The following is an 11737-nucleotide window of genomic DNA, read 5'->3' on the forward strand; positions in this document are numbered from 1 at the left end:
AGGGATACCCAAATGAACCAGTGGAACAGAGTTGAGAAACCAACCCACATGTATATGGAATTTAGAATATAAGTAGCTTTTCACAGTAATGCAAACATTTGATTATTGAATAAATGGTATTAAGAGAACTGGGTAGACCTCTGGAAGAAAAAGTAGAATATATATTTTACACAACACTCAAAAGTAAATTCCAGACATATTAAAATACAATAATAAACCCCAAACTATAAAATAACCAAAAAATGTATCAGGTAATTTTTATAATTTTGGAATGAAGAAGGCCTTTGCAAGAATGAACTAAAACTCAGAAGCCATATTGGAAAAGAATGGCTATGTATCCATCAAGAGGAGATTAGTTAAATAATTATAGTAATTTATGTGATTGAAAAAACTGTAGCTGTTTAAAATGAGATAGATCCATATATACTGTTAGAAAGTTGTTTTGATATATTGTAACATAACAAAAATGAATTGCAGAACAGTATATATTTTTAGTCCATTAAATTTGATATAGTGAGTATAAAAATGTTAATGTGTAGAAAATGAGCTGGATGGATACATTTCAGACTAATAACCTGGAAACCTTTGCAGAGTGAGACTGAGGGAAGACAGTATGCTAGGCACAACAAGGAGCCAACTTCAAGGACTGGGTATCTATTAGGCGAGACCAGATGAATGCCACAGGTGCATCTGGAGACAGAGGTTTTAAACTTCCCTGCTTGTAGAGTGCAGTCTCCTCAAAGCTATCATCATTACACCCACTAATTCTGCTAGCCAGTATAAAAACAAATCATGAAAAATGAAGTAATAAATATGGAAAAGGGGAGATGAAATAAAAACAGTTTGAAAATATGGTAGTTGGTATAATCAATTGGGCAGAAGGTAGACATGGATATTTTTGGCTGATTTGCTTAATCTCTATTTCTCCTTGCTTCTGAGGGCCTCCTTGTACTGCAGAGGCTGGAAAGCTGAAAACTACAGTTCTCAGATTCCTTTACAGCTAGAATTTGAATGCAAATTAAGTAATACCAAGCATATGCCTTGTGTGAGACTTAGAAGGTGGGCACAGGGCAGAGTCATCTCCCTGTCTCTTTGGGTGGTTTTTCTGCTGTCAAGCCATATCAAGGGACATGAACGGTGCTCCAGTGCCCACTCCCTGGCTTTTTAGGTGTTGAAAAGTGGGTGTGTTGGCCAGCAGGGACTTCCTGGTCCCTGTACTATAGCATATTTTTGAGTTTAATAATTTTATATTCTGAGATTAATTCTAGCCTTTCCAAAGATTTTGTAAGTATTTGATATCTTCTAGTAAACCTCTTCCTTTTTAAAACACATAGTTTCTGTTTCCTAGTTTCAGTTATCTTATTGTTGTCTAACAAACCATCCAGAATTTAGTAGATTACAACAACAACAATAATTTATTTTGCCCACAAACCTGCAATTTGGGCAGGGCTTGGCAGGGAAGGTTCATCTTTGTATCACATTGAATCAGTTGGAGGGGTTCTACTGAAGGCTGGAGGGTCTACTTCCAAGAGGGCCCATGCATACAGGTGGGCCAGCTGGTGCTGGCTGTCAGCTGAGTTCCTGGGTTCCTGTCCATGTGGACTTTTCCAGGCGACCTGGGCTTCCTCACAACATAGTTGCTGGGTTACAAGGGAGAGCTTTTTGAGAGAGAGAGAAAGACAAAAACAGAGAGGGAGAGAGATCACCTTTATTGCTTAGCTTCAGAAGTCCCATAGCATCCCTTCTGCCATACTCTAGTAGTCAAGGCAGTTATATAGACTCATCTAGGTTCAAGGGAGAGGACTTAGACTCCACCTGTTGATGGAGGAGTGACAAAATTCTGGAAGAGCAAGTGGGATGGAAATATTGCAGCCATTTTTAGGAAGTATAATCTGCCACATGCCTGCTCTGAATCATGACTGATACAGTTAACAACAAGGATTTAAAGCCCTCAACAATTTAAGCATAAAAGGTTGAACTAAAACTAAATACAATAGAAAGTATTAAATCTGTAAATATCAAAATAATATTTTAAAGGAATATACAAGTATTTAATTTAATACAAGCATTAAATCTGTAAATATCTAAACAACATTTTAAAGGAATATACAAGAAATATAAGTGAAGGAAGATTTGTTTAAGGTTAAATTTTTCTTAAATAAAAAGGCTAAAACATAGAAGCAAATAGTTTTAAAAAGAATAAAGTTTAATACATAGGATGGAAAGGTAAGGGAAAATAATAGAAAGAAGGTAGAACTGGAAGCCTGAAAATTAGGAAAAGAAGCAATGAAATAGGGGTAAGGATAGTATAAGAAGAATGGTTAAAACAGCCCTCATTGAGTCAGCAAAGTATGTTCAAATAGCATTGAGACAAAAGCCTATTAAATCAAATAGATCTTTGTTAAAATAAGGAAAAATGACCAGAAGCCAGTTAGAAGTCATTTCTGGCCCTAGACACGAGGAGTCCCTCTTGAAAGGCCCTGTGGGACCAGACTTACCTTACAGGGCTGCTGCTGGTAACCTTGCTACATCCTGGCTTTGGAGGTCCCATCTCTGATCTGTCTCTCTCGCTCTCGCTTTCGCTCTCACTCTCGCTCTCTCTCGCTGTCTCTCTTTCTCTCTCTTTCCTTAACCATTTATTCTCCATGCTAGTTTCAGACTTCTGTCTAAGAAAATTTCCTTAGACTTTGCTGCCTATATCCATGGTCCTTCCTAGTCCTGTGGCCATCACAACTGCGTTATCATCGTGGTCTTGGCAAGGAGAGAACAGAGCCCCATTGGATTGCTTCTTGTGGAGGCCATTTTGACACCGTGCAGGTTCGGGTAGAAGGTGGTCTGAGAATTGGTGTGGGAAGGTTGTCACAAGGACCCAGGAGTCTGCTGTATCTTCAAAAATGCGTCCTGTCAGTATTTGGGTTCCTTAATTTCCCTTGTCTAATCTGCCATTGTTCTTATGGTTATTTTGTTTTCATGGCAGTGATTAAGGGGAGAATCAGCTGTCACACCAAGCACATGCCATGTTTCCCGAGGGGACAATCTGGGTTGATTCGCTTTCCCAGACAGTGCTTTTGCACTGACTCCTTTGACCCTTTTGTCCCTCTCTTTTCACTGGGTTGCTATCATTTCTGCCACCAGAGCCTTGTTGTTGAGGCCAAAACCCCCACCACCATGGAAGACCCAGATGTCCTACAGGCCTCTTTGGAAAACACTGTAAGCAGAATTCACCCAGCTGTTGGGCGCCAGCAGCAAGTTCTCCAAAGCAGCTCCGCGCTGAGCAGGAGCTGGGCTGGAGGTGGAGGGCTGAGAGGTGAGCGTGGCAGGCTTCAATTACGTTGCTAGGTTCTGAGTTGCTAGGTTCCGAGTTTCCTGAAAGCCTGTGCCGGCTCACCCTGGAAACAAGTCGCTTTCCTGGCAGCTCCATATATAGGCTGCTGGGTGCCTGCTGCCAGCACCTTTGCCTCGGAGCTCCTGGGCTCTGTGGTGGTTCTACTGCCTTTAAGAGCCTTATGTCCCTTGGTTATCAGAGGCTGAGCCTTTCTCCAGAGCATCAGGAATGCCAGGACTCTTCATTGGGGTGTTAGCTTTGTGGGAGGGGCTGGAGGATATGGGAAGTAGGATTGGGAAAAAGAGGAATTGAAGCCTGTGATTGAAACTATTTTGTCTCTCTCCTTGTTTTAGAAAATTAAAGGATGGGAGTGGTGGGGTCCACACTGATTGTTCAATGGGGGATGGGGTCCTTGGCCCACCCCTGCTTTCCCATAGGCCCTCCCATAACCAAGGGCACCTATTTTGAGATGGCTGGCCCCCCAGCCTGGGGACTATGCTGGAAGCAGTCTCCATCTTTGATGTGGAACCAAGAAGCATTAATGGATCCATAGAGAGACTGAGCCTCAACCCACTGGCCTCAGTAGTCCACGTTTTGACCAACTGAATGAATTGGCCCTCGATGACAATGAAATGGATTTTTGAAAAAATCAGTGGGGATAGAGAAATGGAAGGACCCTCTGGTCAAATGCCTAGAGAATACTCCCAGCTAACACTGATGGGTGCTAACCCTGTGCTAGCAGTTTCTATTTGTCAGCTCCTTTCCTGCTGCTCACCGCAGCTCTATGACGTAGGTGATTTTATTGTCCACATTTTATGGAAGAGGAATCTGAGGAACAGAGAGTTTAAGTTTTGATCCAGGATTAAGAAGCTAGAAGGTGGAGATCTGGGACATAAACTCAGAAGTTGGGTTCCGGTACTGTGCCCCTAACCACTTTACTCTCTTGCTTCTACTTTCTCACGTCGGCCGCATTGCCTTCCTATCAGTCTCCTGATCCAGCCCCTGACTTGGCTATCCAGGCAGGAAGCCGCCTATCCCACAGCAGACCTGGTCCTCCAGAGACAGCTCCCCAGATGGTGAGTCTAGGGCTGAGGCTGCCCTCCAGATTTCCCTCAAGAGCCCCTACCTGACCCAGCATCTGTGCCCAACCTTCCTATCACTTTGGCCACATTAGCCTCATCCTTAGGGGCTCTTGGGCCTTCTGGGAAGTCTAAGAGCAAGGCCCAGATTTAGACACTGCCCTTCCTCATGCCCCTTGTCCCTACTACTTCTCACCGACCCTTCCTAAGCCTTCAAGTCTCTTTTGTCTAAGTCCCTTGTTCACAGTCTTCTCCAATGAGGCTTTTCCTGGCTTTTTCTCCAGGCCTTGCTCAAGGTGACTCAAATTCTCAAATAGACTTGTCCTTCCCCTTGTCACTGTGCTCTCAGTATCTTTTTTTGGTTATTGTTATTAAGCCTTGGTCAAATTCTGTGTTTTTGTATAAATTAGCTATTTGTATAGACACCTATCTCCCCTACTCGACACCAAGCTCCTTGTGGGCAGGCATCAGCTCTTATTCATCTTTGTATCTTTTCCGCACCCAGGGCTTGACATACATTAGATGCAATGCACATTTATCCAGGAGACTTGCCAGCGGGGTACAGATTATTCCTGGCCCCACAGTTATTCACTATCCGTTAAACACCCTTTACCTTTTTACAATTATTTTTTGCTTGAACCAAATGAAAACAATCTTTCTTTTTTTCTTTTAAACTGATTATCTTTGTGTACTTTTATATATGATACATTTCATAACAAATTTTAATTAAACATTACAATTCTGCAAAATGAATACTTGAACATTTCCTTTGATTATTTACAAATATGCTTTTCAAAACTTTTTAACAAATCAGAAATCACATTTGTAAGCCAAAATAACATTAACACTTATTAATTTGCTAGTATTTGCCTAATGATTGTAGAATTCCCAGGTCAGTATCTAAACTTTTCAAAAATAATGAAGCTTATTCTATCACTTTACTCCTACTAAGATGTTATTATATAATAATTATTTAAAACCTCATCCCTCAAAATTTTATGTACGTTTTATAACATATACAATATATTGGAAAACTAGTGCTGATATATAACTTGTACATAAACACAAATACTAAATTGGGGAGATATGCTAAAAAATTTATTTTTTCATCTTTATTATTGTATAACTGACAAATAAAAATTGTATATATTTAAGGTATACAACTTGATGTTCTGATATACATATACACTGTGAAAAAATCACCATGATCAAGCTAATTAATATATCCAGCACCTCACATAGTTAACGTTTTCTTTTTTTTTTTCCTTAGGGTTAGAACACGTAAGATCTTATGATCTTAGCAAATTTCAAGAATCTAATACAATATTACTAACTATAGTCACCATGCTGTGCATTAGGTCTCCAGAACTTATTCATTCTGTGTAACTGAAACTTTGGATCCTTTGACCAACATCTTCTTATTTCCCCTCGCCCTGGTGACCACCCTGGCAACTACTCTCTGCTTCTATGCGTTTTACCGTTTTAGATTCCACATGTAAGTGAGATTATGCAGTATTTGTCTTTCTGTACCTGGCTTATTTCACCTGGCATAATGTCCTCCAGGTTCATCCACATTGCAAATGGCAGGATTTCCTTCTTGTTAAAGACTGAATAAGCTATATCTATGTAAATAAATATCACCTTTATCTATCTATCTATCTATCTATCTATCTCAATGTTTAAATCCATTCATTCATCAACAGACATTTGTTTCTGCATTTTGGTTATTGCAAATAATGCTACAGTGAGCATGAGAGTGCAGATACCTCTTTGAGATTCTGATTTCATTTCCTTTAGATATATACCCAGAAATGGGATTGCTGGATCATATGGGAGTTCTATTTTTAATTTTTTGAGGAACCTCCATATCGCTTTCCTTAACGACTGTACCTATTTACATTCCCAACTATGGTGTGCAAGGGTTCCCTTTTTTCTGCAACTTCACCAACACTTGTTACCTTTTGTCTTTTCAATAAGAGCCATCCTAACAGGTATGAGGTGATACCTCATTGTGGTTTTGATTTGTATTTCCCTAATGTGTAATGATGTTGAGCACCTTTTCATGTACTATACTTGTTGGGCATTCTTCTGAGAAATGTCTTTTCAGGTTCTTTGTCCATTTTTAAATTGGGTTATTTGTGTGTGTACGTGTGTGTATGGGGGGGGGTTAAACCCTCAGCAGACATATGATGTGCAGATATTTTCTCCCATTCTATAGGTTGCCTTTTTACTGTGTTGAGTGTTTCCTTTGCTGTGCAGAAACGTTTTAGTTTGATGCAATCCCACTTGTTTATTTTGCTTTTGTTGTCTGTGCTTCAGATGTCATATCCAAAAAATCGTTGCCCAGACCAACATCAAGAGGCTTTTTCCCTGTTTTCTTCTAGTAGTTTTATGGTTTCAGGTCTTACATTTAAGTCTTCAATCTACTTTGAGTTAATTTTTGTATATGGCATGAGCTAGGGGTCCAAATTCATTCTTCCGTGTGTGGATATCCAGTTTTCTCAGAATCATTTACTGAAGAGACTATGCTTTCCCCATTGTGTTTTTGGCACCCTTGTCAAAGATCAGTTGACCACACATGCATGTATTTATTTCTGGACTCCCTATTCTGTTCCATTGGTCTATATGTCTGTGTTTATGCCAGTACTATCCTGTTATGATTACTGTCGCTTTGTAAGACATTTTGAAATCAGGAAGTGTCATGCCACCAGCTTTTTTCTTCTTGCTTAAAATTGCTCTGGCTATTTGGGGTGAAAGTCACTTTCTTTACATTTGTGTATTTATTTAATAACTTGTGCTTCCAGTTATTCCTAATCATTCCCAAAATTGCAAGCTCATGGGAGTTCCAGGATCTGGGTCCATTCACCTTGCATTGATCATCACTTAGCCTCATACCAGGGCAGCTATATGTAGGTAAACACTTTTTTTTAATATACTTTAAGTTTTAGGGTACATGTGCACAATGTGCAGGTTAGTTACATATGCATACATGTGCCATGCTGGTGTGCTGCACCCATTAACTCATCATTTAGCATTAGGTATATCTCCTAAAGCTATCCCTCCCCCCTCCCCCCACCCCACAACAGTCTCCAGAGTATGATGTTCCCCCTCCTGTGTCCATGTGTTCTCATTGTTCAATTCCCACCTATGAGTGAGAATATGCAGTGTTTGGTTTTTTGTTCTTGCAATAGTTTACTGAGAATGATGATTTCCAATTTCATCCATGTCCCTACAAAGGACATGAACTCATCATTTTTTATGGCTGCATAGTATTCCATGGTGTATATGTGCCACATTTTCTTAATCCAGTCTATCATTGTTGGACATTTGGGTTGGTTCCAAGTCTTTGCTATTGTGAATAGAGCCGCAATAAACATACGTGTGCATGTGTCTTTATAGCAGCGTGATTTATAATCCTTTGGGTATATACCCAGTAATGGGATGGCTGAACACTTTTGAGGACATTTAAAGGGATATTTTTACCAAGTGGATCAGAGTGGGGAGTTGAAGAAGCTGAAGAGCTCTCTATGATATTGCCATTTCATAAGTTAGGATGTGCATACCACAACTCCCCCAAACTTACTGAGATCACCTTTGGGACTTAGAGGGCTAGTGGGAGAAATATATAATTTCAACATTCAAAATATAATAGAGTTATACAGATGTTTACTTCTTTGTGAATCTAGTATTTTCTAAACATTTTTCAAAATCTCATTTAAAAAATAGGTACATAAAAATCGCTAAGGGCTTACTGACTTTCCTGCCCCATTTCTCACCTTCATTTATAAATTACTTTTATTTAGTTAATTTAATAATTTAATAAACAACCCCGAAACAAAGGTAGACTCTTTTTGGCAGTAACCCACATCTGACTATATGGTCCCCATCCCATTCTTTGCCTTCCCTCACCCAGGGTGACTTTCCATACTATATTCAAATCGGGTTTAGAGTCCAGGGCTTGTCCTGTTATATCACCTTTTCATCTACACCCACTGTCACCAATAGGACGAATCTGCTTTGGTAGGCTTAATTTTAAAACAAAAATCTTTAAATGGCCTCCCTTGGCAGATAGTAAAACTCAGATTAAATGCTGCTTCTTATAGCATGATTTTCTGTGTTTAAGAGGAGCTCAAATATGGCTGAGATACTATTCACCTTGAAGGCGTCACCCCACCAGTTTGGATATAACTTTCTTGGTCGCATTCCAGAAGTTCTTTATTCTAGGACAGGACCAGGGCAGCTGACTAAGAGGTCTGCATCCCACACTGTCTGCCCGTACTGATTAGTGTTTTTCCCTCAGCTTCTGCCATGGGAGGTAATGGCTCCTCAGTGACATTTTTCTTTTAGTCTCATAATTTAGAGGCTGCTGGGTGCAGTGACACACGCTGCCATTATTCACTCCTCCCAGTGTTGAGTTGTATCTGTGTTTCTGAGCAGTTACAGACAGCGAATAGGAGTCGTAAGACACACAGCTAGACGGAAGAGGGGATATAAAGAATGACCCATGGGGCTGGGAGCGGTGGCTCACGCCTGTAATCCCAGCACTTTGGGAGGCCAAGGTGGGCAGATCACGAGGTCAGGACATCGAGACCATCCTGGCCAACATGGTGAAAACCCCGTCTCTACTAAAAATACAAAAATTAGCCGGGCATGGTCGTGCGCACCTGAAGTCCCAGCTACTCAGGAGGCTGAAGCAGGAGAATCGTTTGAACCCGGGAGGCGGAGGTTGCAGTGAGTCGAGATCGCACCACTGCACTCTAGCAACCTAGTGACAGAGTGAGACTCCATAAAAAAAAAAAAAAAAAAAGACCCATGTTGTGGACCCCTCTTGGTTCATCTTCACCCTTGTTGTGGAGAGGGTCTCTTAGACTAAAAATGTATTCTGGGAGGTGATTTGAATTAGCAAGGTAAAGGCCTGTTTGTCTTTTAAGATATTTTACTCTGAAGAATCTACAAGACCCACAGTTATCCAGACTTAGAGTGCTATAAGGAGGCTCCCTCTGCCACGGAGAGAATTGTCTCCAAGACATTGTCCACAAGGGTCTCTGTCAGAATGGACCCCAGAATCTGGAGCCTGGGAGCAGGATGAACAGGGCTAGGAAGGAATAGATAGAGACAGAGGAGTAGAAAAGAGAAGAGGGAGGGAACTAGGGGAAGAAAGAACGTGGGACTTGAACTTTCCCACCTGAGGTTGTCTGGATTGCCTGAAGGGCTTTACTGAGCAAAAAGTAAGGACAGGCTTTACATCATTCTCTGGGCTCTGGGTGTCATTGTGGCTGGCCGCAGGAAAGACTGTTTTCTTTCTGGTCAAGATGTTATAGAACATAAGAACAGGGTAATGTAAGGGAGCTCACAATCACCAGCAAAGGTGTGGATTGGCCTACTGCAGGCCAGAGCTCTCCTGAGATGTGTGCCAAAAGAAATGACTTACGATGGGCCCTGTGGTAGGGAGCTGTCTGGGTGATGCTTTGCTCACAATTGCCTGAGAACTGCCCCCAAATCACAGCAGCCAGGTCTGTGCTCTTTAAATCTTCCCCAAGGCAGGTAATTGGTACAGGGGAGGAGAACTGGTCCAGGTTGGGCCAGCCATATTCTCTCTTCTGGGAGGAACTGGAATATGGAATCAAGAGACTCATGGGCTGGGAGTCCCTACAGCAGAGTCCCATCAGTGGTAATGTTCTAGAGGGAAGCTGCACAATCCTCCCCTGCTGGGGTCTTCACAGCTGCCTGGGGCCTAGCATGTTTGAGGCTTGTATTCAGTGAGGTGCCCAGTGTTCTTCCAATAGGTTCCCTTTAAACTGGTACAAGTCAGGTTGTTGTTTTTTTTGTTTTTTTTTTAGACGGAGGCTCGCTCTGTCACCCAGGCTGGATTCCAATGGTGTGATCTTGGCTCACTGCAACCTCTGCCTCCCGGGTTCGAGTGATTCTCCTGACTCAACCTCCCGAGTAGCTGGGATTACAGGTGCTAGCCACCATGCCCGGCTCTTTTTTTTTGTATTTTTTAGTAGAGACGGGCTTTCACTGTGTTAGCCAGGATGGTCTCCATCTCCTGACCTTGTGATCCGCCCACCTTGGCCTCCCAAAGTGTTGGGATTACAGGCGTGAGCCACTGCGCCCGGCCTAGAACCAAGAAAATCTTAACTGACACGCTCACCAAATTTCCATTTTCCTTTATTAATTTGTGATTTTGCTAATCATCTTTAAATTTCTATACATCCTTCTTGTATTGATTTTCCTGCTTGAATTGCCTTTCATAGAGATGAATTCTGCAGTCTTAGTGGGTGCAACAGGATTGCTTTTTATTTGCTTTGAATTGCTTTGTTCATTTTTCTAGCCATACCCTGCTGCCCAGCCCTTGATGTGCCACATTTGGTATTTGGGATTTAGGGACCAAATTTATATTTCTATCCTCTTGCTATCCTCCATCCTCCTGCACTCTCCCAGGTACTCTAGAGGCTGGAGCAGAAGATGGCTTCAGCCTAGGAGGTCAAGGCTGCAATGAGCTATGATTGCACCATTACACTCCAGCCTGGGTGACAGAATGAGACCCTGTCTCAAAAAAATAAAAAAAAAAGGAATGTCCAGTTTCCACGTCTAGAAAGGTAAATTATAAACAAGAACATTAAAATGGTATATTATTCACTTCAATGACATAGAAGTCATTGAATGGCTCCCAATTATCTGACCTCCTGATGCTCGTGCCCCTCTCACAGTGATTGGACTAATCTGTGTGATGACAGGACGTTGTAGAAATGGTGGTGTGTGACTTTTGAGCCTAGGTTATGAAAGGTATTCCAGCTTCTGCCTGGGTCACTCATTCTAGGGGAATGCAGCTGCCATGTCATGAGCACACTCAAGCAGCCCTCTGGAGAGGCTCATCTGGAGAAGAACTGGAGCTTCTCACTGTCATCCAGCACCAGCCATAAGAGTAAGCCAACTTAGACCCGGATCCTCCAGCCCCAGCCAGGCTTTCTGGATGTTTCAGCCAACATCTTGACTTTACCCTCCTGAGACTTTCATGAGAGGCAGAAATATCCACTGAAGCTGCTCCCGAATTTGTGGCTCACAGATACTGAGCTCAGATACTGTGTGAGATAATAAATGTTTATTGTTTTAAGCTGCTACGTTTTGGGTCTAATTTGTTATACAGCAATAAATAAGTGGAACAGATATGTATATAGATCCAAGGTGTATTAGTTTCCTGGGAATGCCATAACAAACTGTCACAAACTGGTTGGCTCAAACAACAGAAAGTTATTGTCTCACAGTTCTAGAGCCTAGACCTTTGAAATCTAGGTGTTGGCAGGGCTGTGATCCCTCTGCAGGTACTTGG

At 41.7% G+C, this 11737-nt stretch overlaps 2 long non-coding RNA genes across 2 annotated transcripts; one reads left to right on the plus strand and one right to left on the minus strand.

Moving 5' to 3' along the window:
• Positions 1-1392: 1392 nt before the first annotated feature.
• LOC105374802 (uncharacterized) lies at positions 1393-3329 on the minus strand. The gene is made up of 2 exons (XR_940241.2): positions 2499-3329; positions 1393-1658 (listed from the first exon to the last, which is right to left on the minus strand). It is a non-coding gene; the product is annotated as an uncharacterized LOC105374802 (long non-coding RNA).
• Positions 3330-3394: 65 nt separating this feature from the next.
• LOC105374803 (uncharacterized) lies at positions 3395-11528 on the plus strand. Its single transcript, XR_940242.3, has 2 exons — positions 3395-4401; positions 11228-11528. It is a non-coding gene; the product is annotated as an uncharacterized LOC105374803 (long non-coding RNA).
• The last annotated feature ends 209 nt before the right edge of the window (positions 11529-11737 follow it).

The sequence above is a fragment of the Homo sapiens genome, chromosome 2 (assembly GCF_000001405.40).
Source record: "Homo sapiens chromosome 2, GRCh38.p14 Primary Assembly".
Classification (NCBI taxonomy): domain Eukaryota; kingdom Metazoa; phylum Chordata; class Mammalia; order Primates; family Hominidae; genus Homo; species Homo sapiens.